The following is a 20715-nucleotide window of genomic DNA, read 5'->3' as shown; positions in this document are numbered from 1 at the left end:
CGTACTGACTTCCTAGAGAACATTCTCAGTAACTGGAGGCTTTATCTCCAGCAATCTCATTTCCAAAAGTCCTAAGCCCGAAGTTCTTCCCAATGGCCTGGCATCCTGGGAGTTCACTTGATTGTTGGGCAGAGACATTTTAAACTCAGGGAACATATGATGGGAATTTAGTTTTATGTGTCCCAAAGATATATAATTCTCTTTGAAGGTTTTACTTGATAATAGTTATGCCCCAGAAAACCATCTTGTTTAACCAATGTGATAAGTTGACAATGTAGTTTTTCTCTCTGATTATAATGTACTCTGTGTAGTCAATACACTGGTACCATGTGAGTGTAATTTCCTCTTTTATTTTATCTCCAATGCACTGTATTATAAATAAACAGTTAAAAAAAACACCAAACAAATCTGTTGCATCTCCTTTTAAGATTGTACCACTGTAGACACTTGTTCTAGTAAAGTAGAATTGGGCGCATTTGATTGCATTTAAATTTTTCATGCTTCAGCAGTTTGGCTGGGAGCACAGTAAAGAAAAATCCCATGAGCGAGGATAGTTTAGAATAATAGAACTTGATTTTGTGTATTATAGCGGCAACATTTGCGCTGCTTTAGTTAGGGTTGTGTCAGCACTTCCATTATAAACCCCTGTTTTCAGGGGGTATAACTAGGGAGATTTTTTTTTAATACAAATTAAAAAAACAATTCATTTGAATGATTTTTAAGTTATAATAGTGCAAAAATAAAACAAAGTAAAGTCACATCGAAATTGACCATTTCCACAAGGATTTTGATTTTCTTTTACTTATTAGTCATATAAGGCAGCAGCTAAAGTAAGGTGCTGTTTTAATATGTTGGGGATGAAAATTTTTGCAATGGAAAATTACTGACTGAGCATTAAAATAAATGTAAGCATTCCACATGACATTTTAAAACACTGAAACATGGGTATATTTGATTTATGAGTTTCTAAAGGAGAGTAACTATGGTACAGTGGTTATAGTAAAGGCATTACCAAAAGTCAAGTGCCATTGAAGCTTCTAGAATACAGTTTGGTTGGTTGAGTAAAATGTTTTAAAGGGGAAAGCTAAAGAAATGAATGAGATGTCATCAGGATTATTTAATAAAGTATTTATGCAAAAAATCAGTGAATCAGATCTAATAATCAGCAAATCTAAAGTTTATTTAATAAACTGCATTAAAAACAATTTGTGCACATTTTATAACAAAACTCAAAACTGCCACCCAAAACAAAAATCAACAACAAGACCAAATGTAAAAAAAAGATGTAAACAAAAAAACCCCAACAATTCTACCAAAAGGAAATGCTCAAGGAAATACCTTGCTAAAAACAAAACCCATCTTTTTCACCACTAGCAATGCATTTGAGAACTATAATAAAGTAAAAACAAGAAATTATATGATTTGGAAAAGTATTTTTGGAACAAAAAATGTTAATTCCTTTGCTAAGGAAAGGGATTTCAAAACTGAGTGTGTTTTTCTTGATTGTTAACCGTTGTTGTCCTACCTCCCCTGTCTCCTTTTCCTCTAACGATAGTGTGAACTGAGAATGAACACTCAGATTTAATATTGCTTTTTTTGGCAGCTTGTGTTTTATTTGCAACCTTGATACACATATGTATTTGTAGATGCAAAATAAAAGACAAATTGTGAGATGTTATAAATAGGTAGCATTCCTGAATGGCCACTGGAGGAATCACCAGAAGACTGTTGATGAAGTAGAGGTGAAGCCTTTCCTCACTAATTGTATTCAGCGTGTAATTTCTAAACTTCCCTCTGAATTTTGATTTTCAATTAACACTCCCCATTTGAAGATAATTTTCTATTTAATGTAATTGCAGGAAATAATTTATTGGCTGATTAAGACTGAGGACCCAGCCTTCCTTAAGAAAACATTCTAACAAACCATCCTTTAAACTCAACTCATAGATTTAGTCTATTTTTACAGCTGCAGAGTTGTATTTAATTAGGATTGTGCACTATTGTTCACTGGTGCAGTTTATAGTTGAAATTATTCTTAAGAGACTGTTTTCATTTTGAGTTTTGTCATGATTAATTTAAACTGAAGCAACAATCATAGACATTGCTATTGGAAGGAGCCAATTCACTTTATAATAAGAGGATGTTTGTTGAGGGAAGTAAAGTCACTCTGATTTTTGGATCATGACTTTCAATTGTATTGAACTATTTTAAAAAGCAGAAGTACATTCATTCTTTTGTTTTTAATGTGAATGATTATTGATATTGTCAGTATCTGAAATAGGAAATCACCCTTGTTTGTGGCAAGCTCTTGATAAACTTGCAGAACAATTATAATTTGCCTGGTTTTACTAATAGTAGTTATGGGGCCGGTAAAGTAAGCCATACAGCAATTCTCTTATACTAAGAAGCATCCATTGGCTACCATTTTTCATAATTGTGTATATGTTTGTCCATTTGTTATTATTGATATAAATTGATCAAGAATATATCTGATTTATTGATATAGCACTCTTTAGAACATTTAATTCATTTCTTCTCAAAGAAATTATAGGCATTCTTTTGCATTCCCTTTCCCCCATTTTATTTTCTAGTATCAAATTTAATAGATACAATTTTTGTTACTTGTAGAATGATTATTATAAATTGGTATCAGCATTTTAATATGTTTCAAAGCACTTCAAAAGCCTGTAATACTTTTATTTTGAACTGCGCATAATTAGATTAGCTGATCTTATATTAATTTTTTTCACTGTAGGATACTAAATCTGAGCCCCCTCATTAATTGTGAGAAATTTAGCATTAGCTGTTAAATCCTATGTGAAACATGGGCTGCTACATAAAAACTACTGTTTAAATTGGAATTAACTTAATTATTTTTCTTTGCACTTGATATTTCCTTCACTGCAATATTCATGAAAGCGTGTGACAGATTTGTAAATTTAACTGTTAATCTCAGATTTCTAGACCCTTTAATCAGTATTTATTTGTCTGTAGAAACAGTACTAGCAAGTTAATGATTTGCTAATTTGAAAAATGCTCATGTGGTTTCCTATGTTAACTGATTTGTGCATTTTTTAAAAAATGGTATGAAATCAATTAATGTTAAATAGCAATTAAGGTGGAGATTTTATTCCTTTCATTACACAGCAGTTTTAGAGCTAAAGATGTAATAAACTAAAAACAATGTAAAGTTTTAGAAAAGTGCTCAATTCCCTCTTCTGTTAAGTTATACACTTTCAGTGGTTTTATTTTCTAACCATTTTGCCAAGAAATTCATCTTAATAAAATGATATTCTAAACATTTTGAAATTCTATTTAATAATCATGGTTTTCTGATTTTATATGAGAGCACAGAATGGAGACGTTGTCATGTAGCGTGTAGTCAATGTTTATTTGTGGGCATATAAATGAATGTTCAATATTGTATTTGGAGGTTTTAAATATTATGCACAGTAGGCATTTTACTATTTTCATGGTAAATGCTTCGAATCTTGTATATACTTCCTAATATAAAATAGAGGTATAGCTATTTCAGATACTTAATTCAAATGCTACAAAATTGCCCTAAAACTAATCTAACAGTATCAGCCACTCAATCAATATGTCACTTAAAAGTTAAGTTACAACAATTGACTCATTTCAAAGGTCTTTTAAAAAGCTTTAGATGGCACTAAGTAGTGTTAGGCCCAGCCCTAATAATGCAAAGTGTAAACAAAGAAGTCAGGATCAGATTTGTTTAGGACTTTGATTATGAATTATTTACTCTCCTGATTATATTTTCCTACATATCCCCCTTCTTTTGCTCCTACATAAACCATAGGAGAAAGTTGGATAATTGTGCTTTCAAATCATCTTGCAAACTGACTCATTTGCCAGTTCATTGATTCATTTTTTTCCATTGCTAACTATCACCCTAAATACTTTCAAGAAGCTTATAATCTAGTTAAGAAAACTAGGAGGAAAAATATACACATACACACCCTGTCCATTATGAAAACTTACTCTGTAAAAAAATCATTAATGGATTGTAAGAGAGAAAATATGCAGTAATTACTGGGAAGAGGTTTGCTGAGTTAAAAGCAAAGAGGGAAAGAAGGACACATAAGCCAGGAGTTCTTTTTCAGGGGTTTAGAGTGGACCACAAATATCTCTAAAGTTAAATAACTTTCCTTCTTTCCTGAACTAGCCAAATGCAAGGATTGGTTTATGGTTTGTTATTGACAGCCATTTTTAATCCGTTCTGTTTTTTTTCTGCAGAAGAATGTCTTCCAAGCAAGCCACCTCTCCATTTGCCTGTGCAGCTGATGGAGAGGATGCAATGACCCAGGATTTAACCTCAAGGGAAAAGGAAGAGGGCAGTGATCAACATGTGGCCTCCCATCTGCCTCTGCACCCCATAATGCACAACAAACCTCACTCTGAGGAGCTACCAACACTTGTCAGTACCATTCAACAAGATGCTGACTGGGACAGCGTTCTGTCATCTCAGCAAAGAATGGTGAGCCTTTAAAATCTGACCACTGCCACTAAATGCATTCCTTAGAATGTCCTCATTATAAATAGATATTTTAGGGAAATAGATGACCTTAGAGTTATTTTTGTGTAGATCATGAAACAACTACCAGGTACATATTACTAAGATACTAATAACTGGAAAAACTTGAAAAATGGTTTGTGATTTAGTGTATATACGTTTATTATTAGGTCAATGTGCCAGTAATATATTTTATCGATTGATTTTTGTGGGGGGATTGGTTATCTTATTCTATGAATCCATGAATTTAAGGTGGTTAACTTGGTAATATCATAAAATAGGTATGAGCAAATAAAGTATGCTTATGTATTAATATTGAAAAATTTAATTAAGCAAATATGTCTGTGTGAATGAGGTCATATGTTGAATACACCTTCAATGAGAAAATGCAGGTATTTATCACTTTTAATGGTCATTCTTGACTTATAATAAAGCTTTTCTCACTTATGTGCTTATATATTAATTTCAAAAGGGCATGCAAACCTCGTGAGAATAAGTCAATCAGACTACAGGAGTTTTCTCAAAAAGTAGAAACCACATCAAATACATGCAGTGTATTAGCCAGCTTTCCCATGTTAAATTCCATCTCTAACCATCAGAACAGAAACCATAGTCAGTGACATTAATTATCTAGTTCAAAGCAAAAATATTCAATTTTTTTAGCATCTAGAAGAGATTAAAATGTTAATATATTTTATTAGATTAGAAGTTTTAAACCCCATTTTGCATTTCTTAATCTTTGGCTAACAAAAATTAAGTTAATGAAAATTATTTTAAGTGGACACTGAGAAAATTTTTATTTCTTAACAAAAATAAGGTAATATTTACAATGCCTTTACTACTAATAACACATATTTAAATTCTTATTTGATGCTTAATGTCTCAGAGACTTAATTCAATAATTTATGAAGGCAGACATTTTTCTTTTTCAGATGATTTTGCAGACACAGTCAATGCTCTGAAACAGTAGGTGAGAAGCAGAGGATTGAAAGGTAGTTTCTAGACTAATTTTAGTTTTGAAAGGGATCAAAATTGTACAATTCGATCCACTGGAAGATTTATTTTTCTTGAGTAGGAAGAAGGTAATAAAGCAAGTCTGTTTTTCTGATTGAACTTAAGTTGTTCATTTTAACACCTCCAAGGTGAAATAGATATCCAGTCACTGCCACTTGCGTATTGGCAAGATAATGGAGCGATGTTTCATTTTTATTTAAACAAATATTTATTGAGTACCATCTATGTGCCAAGCATTCTATTAGGTGCTGACTATATAGTGGTGAACAAAGCAGACATGATGCATGCCTTCATGGAGTTTATAGTCTGGGAGAGGGAATAGAAATTAAATAAATATATACACAAATATATAATTAAAATGTGATGTTTGCTATGTGTGAGGAGAAAGAACAGAATGCTATGTGAGAACATAATGGGGCAAACCTAATTTAGAATAAATGGTTAGGAATGCCCTCACTGAGCCAAGGATGGTAAGAACTAACCAGGTAGAGTGGAACAAAGAGTAAAACTGCAGAGGGAACAGCATGTATGAAGTATTTGAAGTGAGAAAGTTACTGCTTAATTTCAGAAAGTAAAAGATGGCCTTCGTCGCTGGAGAGTTATGATGAAGGATGCAATATAGGATAAGATATAGTTGGAGAGATTGGTAGGGGCTATATCAAACAGGACCTTGGAGATAACATTATGGATGTGAGATTTGATCTAAGTTCAATGGAAAACGTTTGAAGCATTCAAAAACATTTCAAACAGATAAAGTCTGGCGTGGTATAATGAATGGATGGGAGAGAGACAAGAGTGAAAGAAGGAGGACCCACTGGGAGTCTATTTCAGAAGTCTAGGTGAGAGATGAATGGCTTGGATTAATGTAAAGGAAGAGTGGCTAGAGAGAAAGGATGGGTTTAAGACATATTTTGGCTTTTATGCCAAATCTAGTCATAGACAAATAAAAATAACTGGACTGGAAAATATGGGTAGAAGAAGAAATAATACAGTTCAAATTTTATTTCTTTGAGAACACTATACTTATTTTTCCTAGAAAAATTTTGTTTGTATCTTGATAAATGCCAAGTTACTTTGGTGGGTTATTATCAAACTTTTATGATCTAAAATTTTGTCTTAAAAATATATTAATAATTTTCTTACCAAATTTATATTAAATGTGGTTTATGATAGTATAAAATAGTTTAATGGTACAAATAAGTTAAATATTAATGTAAAAGAAATCATACTTGCTAGACATGTTTTCAAACTTTCACTTTCTTTTGCTATCAAACATTGCTTTCCACTGGAGCCTTTGTGTATTCCGAATGACTAGAAGCCAAAATATTTTGTTTAAACTCCCACTCTATAGTATTTCCCAGCTGTGTACTTATATGGTGTAATAAAAGGATTTAACAAATGGGAAATAGCAGCTGCATTTGGAAATTCCCTTTGTGCTTCTTTTTCACTGGATAGATTCAATATTTTGTAACAACTGTAATATCAGACCTGTAATGACTTATACTGTAAGTACCATAACACTTACAGGAAAAAAAACAATAGAAGGATTTTAAGTTTCTGGGCAGACCTGCAAACCTACATATATTGTGTGTGTGTATGTGTGAGTGTGTGTTGGAGTGGGAGGACTCTGCTAATATAAAATTTAATAAACATTTTACCTCATTCTACTTTAAAATAAATATGAAGTCAAAAACATGTTTATGAAATCAAGTAAAACTTGTAGTTTTTTAATGGATCATATTCTGTACTTAGAGTCGCAAAAAATAGTTGTGAAAAAATAAAACTTAAAAGAAAATCTAAAAAATAACAATAATTTTTTCAGCACTTATACAGTTTCCATTGTTATTTACTTTCTGTAATGGCCCTCATGGCCCTCATTCATGAACTGTTAGAAACAAGCCCTAAAAGTTTCTTATCTCTTGGGTACAGGAAGGGTTTTACTTTGAAATGTCATGACCACAGAGGAAGTTTTCTGTCAGAGAAGGTGAAGACAAAGCAAAGAAGCTCTACTAATTCCCACTTCCTGATTAGAAAAAAAATCTTTAAATGTGAAAATTCTGATTATTTTGAGGTGACACTGCAACAAAATATGAGACCACATAGGTTCAAACAAGAAAAATAATTTGTAATGGCATAAGCAAAGAAGGAGAATAGAAATTTTAGAAATAGGATTTCAAGGACCACTTTGAGATAAAAAGTTTTAGATTCTGATTTTAATCATAATTACCTATTTATACACACCAAATTGTTGAATTATAAATTTAATGTGCTATGTTAATTAGTGAGAGCCATTTGAAGGTTGGAAAGTTAATGTAAATAAGATTCACTATCCTCTATCCACAACTGCTACCACTTTCATCATGGCACCCAGTGTGCCAATACCTTTTTTGCAGAGGAATGTTGACACTGTCCACTAAAATGTGCTTTTGTTCTCATTAGGACTGACTCATTAGGCTGGAATACATTCACATAATTTTTTTCATGGAAAAATGTACAGGATATTATTATTTTTGATGTTAATAAGCATGGAGAGGAATATTTTTGTGATAATGTTTCATGACCTGTATATGATATTGTGTGTAATAATTATCTGCTAGATTGTAACTGTAGAAAGGACAGATAAACTTATATATTGTTGGTGATCTTGTCTGCAGATTACATACAATTTTTTGGTGCAAATTATGTATAGCTACTTGTATCAAACAGATAAATTGCAACGTACATGTTATTTTGAGCCTTCCCTTCCTTACTTTTTTTTCTTTTGCTTTAGAGTATAATTTAGAAAGGAGTTATTATCATCACTGGATACCTGAGTGTATAGTACCTACTAAAGTTCCAGGCACAAGGACTAACTTGTGAATAATGTAGTTAAGATCCCTGTTATCATAGAACTTATAGTCTAGTAGTATGGCAGACAATAAAGAAGTCTTATAGAGTGAGACAATTTCAGACAATGATAAGTACTATGAAGAAAATTAAGTAAGAACATGTGATAGAGAATTACTGCTTTAAAAAGACTGGGGAAGTTATTTTGGAGGAGGTGACATTTGAGCTGAAATTGGAATAAAAAGAATCACTGTGCAAAGATTTGGGGAAGACACCCAGTCAGAGTGTATAATAAGTACAAAAGTCTTGTAGTTTGTATGTTTGAGAAACAGAAAACAACAGAGTGGCTGGTGAGGCAGAGAATGGTATGAAATGAAATCAGGGAGGCTGACAGATTACAGATATTATGGAGTCTCATAGGCTACAGGGAAGTGTTTAAACTTTCTTTCAAGTGTAAGTAGAAGCCATTGGAAAATTTTAAGCAAGGGAGTAACATGATTTGATTTATGTTTTTAAAAGATCACATTGCCTGCTGTGTAGAGAGTGGACTGTGAGAGAGAACATCAGAAACAGGGACACCGATTAGGAAACCATTGCAGTGGTGCAGGTGAGAGTTTGATTGATGATAAGCAGAAGAGTGAACAGTTAGGGAGGTTATTCATTGAAGAGTTCTCAGAGATTCTGAAGAAGACAAAATTTACACAAAGGGTGGAGACAACGTTTTAAGTAATGTACATGTGGGCAGAAACATAGTCAAGAATGACAAGAAATGACGTTGGTGAGACCAAGGAGAGGAGGGAAGCGAGTAGAAATGCTCTCGGCCAGAGAATGGGCCGAGGTGAGAGACAAGCTTTTTGCCTAAGAAGCAACTCTTAGTAGGTGGCTTCTGTGGTAGGCCATGGAGATGTGGGTAAGGCACCAACACTCTTATGAGATACAAAATGTGATGATTGTAAGTGGGAACTTATGTACATGTGTACACTTACACACATTCTTATATTGATACACATTTTGGCAAAAATATACATGTGGCTTTTAACTACTAGTCTAAGTAGGTAGAAATAACCATAGTGGACTATCAGCCCCAGAATATCTGAACTTCTTATTTTAGAGACCTACTTAAATTCCTCCAGGGGAGTTTTTATCTTCTAGAAAAGTTTTAAAATAAGTTTCCACCTTAAATAAAAGATGTCAATAATGCCCTTTGTTGTAATTGAATGAAAATAATGGTAGGCATGCTGAGATATTTAATAAATAACTATTGGGGAAAACACCTTCTTGCTTGCAAACAATTTCTACTCTGCTTCTCTAGCTTTCAGTCTCATGAAGTTGCTAATCAACTCTGGAGTGTTTTGTGTTTTTCACTTGGAGTCATAAAATTGCTGGTGTGGACTTTGTACCATTTCTGGGAATGGAGCTATTGTCATTACATGATAACAATCCAGGAATTTTTAGTGAGGATCTAATCTTCAGTCATGCTGTTATGACAGACTTTGAGAAGATTTCTAATCTTGTTATTTTAGAGAAGATTTTAAAAACTTGAATTGTTGCCAGTTTTTTGTAAGATTTTGTCATTTAAGATAGTAGGCAGCACCAAAATGAAATTTATTTCCCCACTTTTATTGAGACTGTACTTTAGAAAGTGTAGTGAAACCCACTCGTTCACTTGGTTCTAACTAGTGTATAGTCATAGTCATAACTCCTAAGGTAAGATTTATGTACACCTTTGTGATACCTGATTGGCCTATGAAGCACTGGAAAAAAGTCCATAAACCTGTAAGGTTTAGACTTCTTGAGACATTTAGTTACTACTTCTCTCATTTTTGGATTTTGGAAATTCATTCAATTTTAGTAAAGTTCAAGCCTAGATTTCTGTTAACAGGTGAAAATGGCCATCCTTACCTTGAATCACTGAATAGTATTTTCTAGGAAGACTCATGGGAGATTTCCCAGTTCCTGTAACTTTGAAACTATATTTGCATACGGTACTATCTCTTTTTCAACCTGTTTCAGAAATTTAATGACAGAAATTTATTTAGTATTTGAACTAAAAAATAAAACATTTTATTGCATGGAATCTGGCAAAGCTCTTGCTGTGGGTAGTGAAATAGACAGCAAATGTTGTCTAGTGTTGACACATTGATTTCCTTTATATTTTTACACCCTGATAATGTGCACTGTCCTTTAGAAAAAGTATGTATTTTTAAAAGTTCCCCAAATCTAAATTGTTTAAATTAAACAAAGGGTTACTGGTATGATACTTGGAAGTGTCTCGATGTTTATGGAAATATAAATTATTTTTTCATGATTCTTAATTACATAATATGCCTTTCTAAGGATAATTTTTGGAAAAATTTTCTTTCTTACCTAGCATATTATTAAAATCTTCATCAAAAATAGAGACATTAGGCTAGGCGTGGTGGCTCATACCTGTAATCCCAGCACTTTGGGAGGCTAAGGCAGGTGGATCACTTGAGGTCAGGAGTTTGAGACCAGCTTGGCCAACATGGTGAAACCCCATCTCTACTAAAAATACAAAAATTAGCCAGACGTGGTGGTGCGTGCCTGTGGTCCCAGCTACTCAGAAGGCTGAAGCAGGAGAATCGCTTGAACCTGGGAGATGGAGGTTACAGTGAGCCGACATTGTGCCACTGCACTCCAGCCTGGGCGACAGAGCAAGACTCCATCTCAAAAAAAAAAAAGTAGAGACATTAACATGCTCTGGAATAGTTGGCTTTTTTCCCCCTTGGGCAAGAAGGAATCAGGTATGCATGCTGATTAACACACTCCAGTCATTAACATGTGATTATGTGGGCTGCGTATTGAGCACCTGCCAAAATATAAAAATCCAGTACTTTGCTACATCTGTGCAAAGACTTTTTGCATTTCTTTTGTATTTTGACAGATAAATGAAAATCGGACATTAGTATCTTTTTTTTTTCAGTGAAGTTGTGTATTCAGAATGTCTTTAAGGAGGTGTCACATGTCATGTTTATTTTTATTTTAATCATTAAGTCTGTATAAGATCCAATGACTAGGGTTTGTAGTGCACTGACTATAACATGAACCCCTTAATGAACTCTATCACTGACACTCACAATTTGCAACATTACTGTATGTTCAAAAGGATTATCTTTTCTTGGAGTCAGCCAACGTTCTCCTAATTTGCCTCAGTTTTATGTTTGCCTCAGTTTGATGGATATTTTGTTTTCATTTACTTTACCTATGTACTGCTAGTGTATACCTCATAGTAATGCCAGGGCTGCTCCTGTGGTTTGACTTTTCCTGTCAACTATCCCTATGCAAATACTTCTATATGACCAAAGTGTAGCTTAGAGTCTATAGCATTTACACACATAGGAAAAGTAGCTTTTTGATAATTATTTAAAGTAAGACTTGGTTACTAATAAAAAATCTAGTATAATCTAGTCTAGCGTGAATCTAGTCTAGTGAGTCTGATTGAGCAGGACTGTTCTACTCAGCTTTTATCTTTCTTAATGGATTCAAATGTCATTTGAATGTAGCTTTTTTTTTTAAATAAACCTTTTATTAAAGTTGGTCAGGGTTAATCAATGGAAGCTAATCTTGGGACACTAATAATTTCCTGATTAAAGCAGAACTCTATGAGCATGTTTCAGTCTATAGGTGGTTCTGATTAATATATATTTTCTTGTACAGAAATCCTTCTTAAAATTTTTTCTTGCCTAGCCTCTGGGTACATCACTATAATGAAATATGATAACTGGAACAATAAAATCTGCACATTTTTTCATAATGCTTCCAAGCAACATGAAGAAAATAATGTTTATATTGTATAGAATGCAGTTGTTTATATGACTAATTTGAACTTATTGTGATTAGAATGAAATATTAATCTCAAAGTCCTTCTAGATCAGCAGGAATAAGATGGAGACAACTGTGATACGCAGCATATTACTTTGGGAGGAGGAACCCAGGATTGTGTCTGCACACCTTGAGACCTACCTTCTTTAATTTGGAAAGGGTTGCTTTCCATAAAGCCAACTTTAATATAATGAATCCTACTTGCATCATTTGTTTGAAGATGAGGTTGAAAGGGCTGTCTCTCGTTATTCAGTCAAACCACCTGCATGAAGCAGGAAAGACCCTACTCTGTTCCCTCCACAAATATATCTAATCTTTCTTGAACACCTATAATGAATATGTATTAATTACCTTGATACTAAAATTATTCCACTGTTTGATTGTCCTCTGCAAAAAAGTTTCCTTGCTTTCCAGGAGAAGCATAACCTTTTAAAAGAAGAGCAACTTCAAGCTATTATTACTTTTGTTAATACAGCTTTCAATGTGATGACATATTTATTTTTCATGATATTAACCTTTACTACATTCTCTTGACCCCTAGGCATTGTTTTTTAGGTGATGCAAATTGAGTTCAATAATATATCTGTGTAAACCACATTCTAAATTCCAAAGTATAAATTACAAACCTTTGCTAATAAAATTTTACAATCAGGTTGAAATTAGAAATGAATATTTATGCATTTCATTTATCTTCTTTATATTTCATTAGCACCCTGGAAAATAGAAAATCTTATTTAATAAAATGATTGGAAATTATTTGGTAAACTTTTGCTTTCATTATAATTTAACTCTGATTTGTTTCTACTCCCAGTATACTGAGAGTACTCAGAAAACAATATTCTCAAATGTCTCAAAATTCTGAGAGGAAGTGTGCCCTCATTCAAGCACAGGTAGATTATGGTGGTATAATAGAAGAAATTCTTTTGCTGAGAAATGAATAATTCAAATATTTATATGATAATTACTTTTATTTATCAATTTTTTGGTCAGTTCCAGTGGTGAGTAATAATTTTTTGCATAAGCACTGAGTTAGCCAGGATTAAACTAATGTAATCCATGAACGAATTCAGAAAGCTTTTACTCTTGAGTTTAGACTCAATATATGACTTTCAGTTATATTAATTTATTTCATACCTGGTATGCTTCTACTAAAGATGATTCTCTCATTTTTGTTCTCTCATCGATGTATTTCAGATATAATTGGATTATAGTTTATTTCTTTTGCTTTCTGAAATTAACAGTAAAGTTAGAATTTGGCCCTCCTTTTGGCTACTGTTCTCTTGGATGACACGGTAGGTCAAGGAATGAATCTATGTTTTTGGATATTTGGAAGTTAAGAGGGGAAAATAAAAATTCAGAGAAAAGTTTTTCTTTCCAGAGAGAAAATATGGGCTCTGTGATTGTAGTTGTGTCATCAGTCCAAGGTTGTATGTTGCATTCAGGTAGAGGAATGCACAGCTTCCAGACATTGTGAGGACCTGATTGCAGTTAGACTTTTAATTTGCTGCCTTGTGTTAAATTGGTGACATTTTGTGCCCCGTTTCCCTTTTGCTGGAAATGTACGTAGAGATAGGTGGGTGGATGCATGGATGGATAGATCATTGTTTTATAAGTAACATAACCTCTGAGGAATCATTTTTAGTCTCTTTGTACTTGTTCTAGTTGTAAGAACTTAAACAAGAGAGCTAGAGATGTTATTTAAAATGTTCTGAATTATAAAGAGTTTCTTGGTAGCCCACCATATGAATTTAACATATTAGAAGAAAATTTGAAGGTTCTTTCAGTGAAATCCTCAAACTTAGGAGCTTTACTGGACAAGATCTAGTGAAGAGAGGAGTTTGTTGAGCTCACAGGGTGGCCCTGAGTATGTATGACACATAAAGCAATCTGTTCTCTTGACTCTCTTCTTTAGGCAAACTGGGCCTTGAAAGGACTTAACTGTCAACAGAGTTGCATCTCTATTAAGGAACAAATGGATTTGACAAACCTTGATTGGGCTCTGATACTTTTAATGTTAGGATTTGTGAGGTATGAAGAGCATACCATGAGTTATTTCTTTTCATGTAAAACACACTAGTTACTTTGCTTATTACAAAAACAACAACAAACAGTATGGGTGTCACTCAAAGGAGGATGAAAAGAAAACAACTGCAGAGGAGGAGAGCATGAGGAAGATTGACCTGACACCAGAGTAAGTGGTTACCTCTTAAGAGGAGCTCTATGGAATCATTTGAGACTCTCCAGGCATAGAAATGTGCTCTGTAAGAATTTGTCCAACATCTCCAACTTCTGCATAATCACTCCCTTTATTTCTCAATGCCATAAATTGTCAAAAAGACATTCTTTTTGTTTGGTAGGGGTTCCTTTTTTTCTTTTTTTATCTGGGGGCCTTAGAGGGAACACAAGTTACCTCCTAGAAAGCCTGTGTTCATCTCTGCCCTAATTTGCTGTGTGACCTTAGGGAAGTCACTTTATATCTCCTGACTTCGATTTCCTCAGCTCAAAAAGGAAAGATTTGAACTACAATGACTAAGCCTCTTGGCACTTCTAACTTTCTTGGTTTCAAGGTTAAAATTGGGATAGCCAATTTGACTTAGCTTACTATTGTTTAGATTGAGTATCATGTATATGGTAGTTTGAGTACTAATGAATTGCCAGATGAAAATAACTGTCTAGAGTTGGTAGGCACATGAACCAGTCAATAGTTGAATGTTGTTTTTGTTTGTTTATTTGTTTTAGATGGAGTCTTGCTCTGTCGCCCAGGCTGGAGTGCAGTGGCTTGATATCGACTCACTGGAACCTCCGCCTTCTGGGTTCAAGTGATTCTCCTGCCTCAGCCTCTCCTGAGTAGCTGGGATTACAGGTGTGTGCCACCATGCCTGGCTAATTTTTTGTATTTTTGGTGGAGACGGGGTTTCACCATGTTGGCCAGGCTGGTCTTGAACTCCTGCCTTCAACTGATTTGCCCGCCTCGGCCTCCCAAAGTGCTGGGATTATAGGCATGAGCCACTGTGCCTGACCAATAGTTGAATCTTGATAGAATGTTGATTTAATTGCTGGGAAATTCACTATCAGGCCTGCCTTAAAGCTCTGCTTACATGGCATGAAATCTTTAAAACATGACATCTCTAAGGAATTCTTAGTGTCTTAATTCTTGTTGTTCAGACAGTACTGAGTATATTGAGTTTAGGGCACCACTCTTTAAGAGATATATAAAGAGAAACAATTGGAACACACTCAGAGAAGAATGTTCAGACTGGCCAAACTGTGTTTTATGAAGAAGAAATGAAGGAAAAAGGGATATTTTCCCTAGATGAAGAGAGGATAGAAAGGTACTGTAATAGCTGTGAGTATGTATTGAATAACTGCCATTCTGAATGTTTCCATGGAATAGAAATATAGATTGGAACGTGTTTCATATTTCTGTAAAGAAGAATTTTGGACAACCCTCCAAAAATGGAATGGACCACTTTGGGAGCTGCTAAATCCTCTATTAGTGAAAGCGTTTAGGGAGAGGCCAAATAGTCACTTGTCAAGGAAATTGTAACCACCACCATTTAATTATCACTTACTATGTAATGCCACTGTTCTAAGTGTTTTATTTTTATTAAATCATTTAATTCCCACAACTCTTTGAGATAAATTCTTTACTGTACTATTATTATTGCCATTTTGCAGACAAGGAAATTAAGGTGAAAAGAAGTTAACTAACTTGTCTGAGCTTATATGGATGAGAGGTGGAAAAGCTGGGATTTAAACTGGAAAATCTTGCCCAGGGCGCCTGTACTTTGTTAACTATTTTATTATTCCATCTTCTCTTGCACAGGGAATTCAAGTGCTAGATGGGATTGAACAATTGGAGTTTTAAAGACCTTTGAATCTTGAGATTCTAATTTTGTGTGTGAGGCTGGTAGTGTATAGATAATGCAGGGCTTTTCTATGTCCCTGTCTTGACAGGTTTGGGGATGTTTTCTGTATTTAATCTATTCACTATATTTACTTCCATTTATTAAATAGAATGTTAATGAGGACATTCAACAAACTTTTGGGTTTGTTATTTTTTTTCTGGGAATTGAAATAACATTTAGGAAACAACAGCTTATTTTTAAAGCCTTAGGAATCATGACACTTTAGCAAATATTGGTAACAAATCTATTTTCTGACACATCTATGAATAATTTTATTGTTATTCAACAGCATAGTAATAGTGATAAGTGGCATATGTTATTTCAATTTTGAGAATGTTATGTAAATCTAATATACTAGCAAATATCAGTTTTAATAAAAGAAAAAAATACACTTTCACTATCATTCAAAAAATGATACTTTTGTCATGAATAATCTGTTGGCAATTAGAACCAAATATAGCATTTTAATTTATGTATGCTTCTTTAACCCAATCCTTTTCTTTACAGTATGTCACATTAGAAAAAAACATACTTTTTTCCTCTGAGAAAGAACCGTAAATGTTTGCAATTTAGTCTTCAGCATATTAAAAAGGTTAGATTTCCTTTGTTAGCAAGAAGTTATTGGAACCGAAATCTTTTCTGTCAGTCAATAACACTATAGTAGAAGGTGTCTTATATAGCACAGTTGGCAAGTAGTTTTTTGTTCATCAAGAAAACAAAAGGTTGTTTAAAGTGGAGAATCAGAAAAAATGTTACATATATTGTCTGTGGTATAAGTTAATGTAATATGTCAAACATAGTTGTATATATGTAACTTATATAACATAATTTGGACATTTAATTGAAACTTTAAATATATAAATGCACTGCATACCAAGGAAGGATGGGGTATAGTTAGTGGTGGGAGCCATGTGACCTGGCAAGGAAGATTGATCACTAACATGGTTGAGTTGCCAGTCCATGGTAATTTAAAACATAAATGACTTTTGGTTGTTTTTGCTATTGTGTTAACTTCTTTACATAAATTGTAGCTCCTTAATTCCCTCCAGTCAGAGACTACCAGGAACATACCTGTAGCTGAACACATTGGGTTTATTACTCATTTTTAATGAAGGAGAATATATACCATAGTGAACCATAGAACGTCTTAGGAAGAGAGTGTTATATTTGGACCTATTTTAGGGTTTGGGCTTTCTTTTGGTGATTTTGAGTAGGGTCTAAAGAAGCAGAAGTTTGTTGTAGATTGAGTGTCGTCCGAAACCAGGGCAAATCTATGATTGGATATCTCAATAAACCTTGTCTATAGGGAGGGCAGACTAGGTTGAGGATAACATTGCAACTGGAGAGGCTACAACTAAAATGGAAAACAAAGCAAAACTGACAACATATGGTGCTATAAGAATGAATAGATTTAATTCATTCTTGCTACTGGATACAGGAAAGGGTACAAGTGAATAGTATTCTGTTCTTACAGTTAGACTGGGCAGCCGGTAGGGAAGTTGATTCTTGCAGCTACTTATGCCATTTCCCAGTCATTTCTCCCAACTGCAGTGACTCCCACCTGTATGTGGGTTTCAATTTCATTATATAGGCAAGATTCAACTCCTGACCTATGCTTTCTGACTCTTAATTCCTGACATCTGATCTGACTTTTGCAACCCCAGCCCACTGTTCTCCTCTGCTTGCAGTATGGCTGACCATCCACATTCCTTGTCTAGGTATGGTCGGCAATCCAGCTGAATAAGAGCGGTAGTGTACTGTAGCTGCTCCTGGACACAGTAGAGAGAATCCATATGCAGATAGGATAAATAAGAATTGGTAGTATTCCTAGAAAAAGCAAATTATAAATGCTAAAGTTCCTGGAGCTTTGTGAGAAGCCAGATCTCAATGGAATTGGTTTGAGGTGAACATTGATAATGAAGAAAGTAATGTAGTTTAGTATTTATTATTCCACTTAGATGAACAAGTATGAATAAAAACTTAAAAGGTGCCAGTGGTTATCATGACTGTATTTTCAGAATTGAAAATAGAAAAAAAGGGCAATTGGACAAAGGACATTTGTATTTAATAAGAGTAGCTATCATTTATTGAGTACTTATATGCTAGGCATTATACTAAGTGCTTTATACATGATTCATTTCTCATAGCAACGATTTGAAGATATAATTATAGCTCTATCCTATAAAAATGCAGAGTCTAATTCCCATTCCCTTGACTTTTGGCAAGGCTTGGTGACTCACTATTGAATAGAATGCAGTGACAGTTATACAGCGTGATTTCCCAGGCTAAGTTAGAAACAGTGGTATAGCTTTCATCTGGCTGTCTCTGGGACATGCACCTTTGGATCTCTGAGACACCACGTAAGAAAGAAGTTTCACTATCCTGAAACTAACATACTGTAGAGAAGAGACCATGCAGAAAGGTCATGTAGAGCTAGAGTAAGATGTCCAAGAAACCCTAGTTATCTCAGCCCCGAACTCTTAAAATGTTCCCAGCCCAAGTACCTTATCTGTGAGTAAAGAAGCCTTTGGCCTTAGCCACTGACTTAACTGTAACCTCATGGGAGACTTTAGACAGAACCACCCAGCCCAGATGCTCCAAAATTCCTGACCTACAGATAGCATTAAGGATAATAAATGATTGGTTTTGTTTTAAGCACTTTGTTTTTGGATGATTTCTTATACAACAATACATAAGTAATACAAGTTACTTCTTGGTAATTCTTGGATTAAGGTGAATAATAAAGTGTAATTTTTGCCTCAAATGTAGATAAATCTCCTTTCTGGAAATGGATGGAAACAAAAAGACTTAGAAGGTAGTCATCATTGGCATTGTGGCATCTTTTACTGTTGAGAGTGACTTTTTTTTTTAAAAAAAACTGTAGCCCTATGGATTAGAAAAAACATTGGATTTGGTGTCAGAAAACCTGCAGTTAAAGATTTTTACCGGTCCTGCCTATGTGACATGGAGGGAACAATCCTGCTGAGTGTTGTTTTTTTCCTGCTGAAAGTGAAGATGTAGAATTTGGTATCTAGTTGTTGGTGACATATTTTTAGAATAACATCTAGAGACGAGTGCATCAGAGGAGGATGATGAAGGGTCTGGAAATCATGGCAAATGAGAAATGGGTTTAGAAAGTGCAGGAGTTTTACCTAGAAAAAGACTATTAATTTGATATCTTCATTAAGATATTTGAACAACTCTCACATGGAAGAGGAAATAGATTGATATTATGCATCTTTTGAGAGCAAACAGTAAACAATGTGTTGTAATTAATGTCTTAGTCCAATACTGCTGCTAATAACAAAATACCATACACTGGGTAATTTATAAACAACAGACATTTATTTCTCACAATTCTGGAGGCTGGGAAGTCCAAGATCAAGGCACCAGCAGGTTTGGTGTCTGGTGTCTGGTGAAGGCCCAGTCTCTGCTTCCAAGACGACACCTTGACAGGATCAACAAACTGTGTCCTCACATGGCGGAAGGGTGGAAGGGCAAAAAGGAAGTAACTATTTGCCTTCAGCACTTTTATAAGGTTGCTAATACCATTCATGAGGGCTCTGTTCTCATAACTTAATCACCTCCTAAAGTGATTAGGTCTTAGGCTTTGATTTATGAATTATGGGGGGACGTACATTCAAACCATAGCAATAAGTATCTAGATTTTAGCTTATGTGAAGATTAATTTTTTAATAATTAGATTTATTAGAAATAATATTTGAGATCCTGCAACTGTAGAAATGCCAAGGAAAGAAATCTTGTTTATTTTTTCTGTGTTTGGTAGAGGGAAACTATAATATACTGACTCTCTCGACATCTTCAAGAAGGCCAAAATCTATTCTTTTAAATTACTATTTTTTTCTGTTTCCCCTAAGCATCAGTGTATAAAATAGCTTTTGTTTTTCTTTACTACATGAGTAATATGTTTATGGAAGATGAATTAGAAAACACAGATAAGCAAAAAAGGAAATGAAAATTACCAACAGTCTTACCACCATTTAGGAATCACTGTAAATATTTTAATATATCTTTCCAGTTTGTGTATGTTTGTGTGTGGGGGAGCACATTTACACTTATGCACACATATAAATAATTGGTGTTATATTCTAAATACTACAGTATATGCTTTTTTTCATTTAATACATCTTTCCTTGTGAATAAATTATTTCTATGACTTCTTTGATATTTATATTTAAATGTGAAGATGAAATTTATTTTCTGATTAAAAGTATTATTTGTGATAGGACATTTACAAAATATCGAGAACTTCAAAAAGGAAATAAAATTATCTGTTGTCCCAATACTCAGAGGGCCATTAACATTTTATTGTGTACTATGGTCTCTTTTTTTCTGTACATAATTTTTTAATGATGTATAATGTGCTACCAAACAGTAGATCTTATTCCTTCTATCTAACTATATTTCCATACTCATCAACCAACTCCTCTTTATTCCCCATCACCACTAGCCTTCCTAGCCTCTAGTAACTACTGTTCTATTCACTACTTCTCACATGTGAGTGAGAACATGTGATATTTGTCTTTCTGTGCCTGGCTTATTTCACTTAACATAATGTCCTCCAGCTCT

General features: G+C 34.0%; 1 protein-coding gene across 6 annotated transcripts in view; it reads left to right on the top strand.

The window, feature by feature from the left end:
• SOX6 (SRY-box transcription factor 6) overlaps positions 1-20715 on the top strand; it is a 772029-nt gene that overhangs the window by 392968 nt on the left and 358346 nt on the right. For all 6 annotated transcript variants that reach the window (NM_001367872.1, NM_033326.3, NM_001145811.2 and 3 more), the window contains one exon: positions 4258-4498. In NM_001367872.1, the coding sequence (NP_001354801.1) occupies positions 4262-4498 (237 nt within the window). In that variant the 5' untranslated portion in view covers positions 4258-4261. The remainder of the gene's footprint in view (positions 1-4257; positions 4499-20715) is intronic.

Source organism: Homo sapiens, chromosome 11 (genome assembly GCF_000001405.40).
Source record: "Homo sapiens chromosome 11, GRCh38.p14 Primary Assembly".
Classification (NCBI taxonomy): domain Eukaryota; kingdom Metazoa; phylum Chordata; class Mammalia; order Primates; family Hominidae; genus Homo; species Homo sapiens.
Note: the sequence above shows the minus strand (reverse complement) of the source record. Positions and strands in the feature narration are given on the sequence as shown.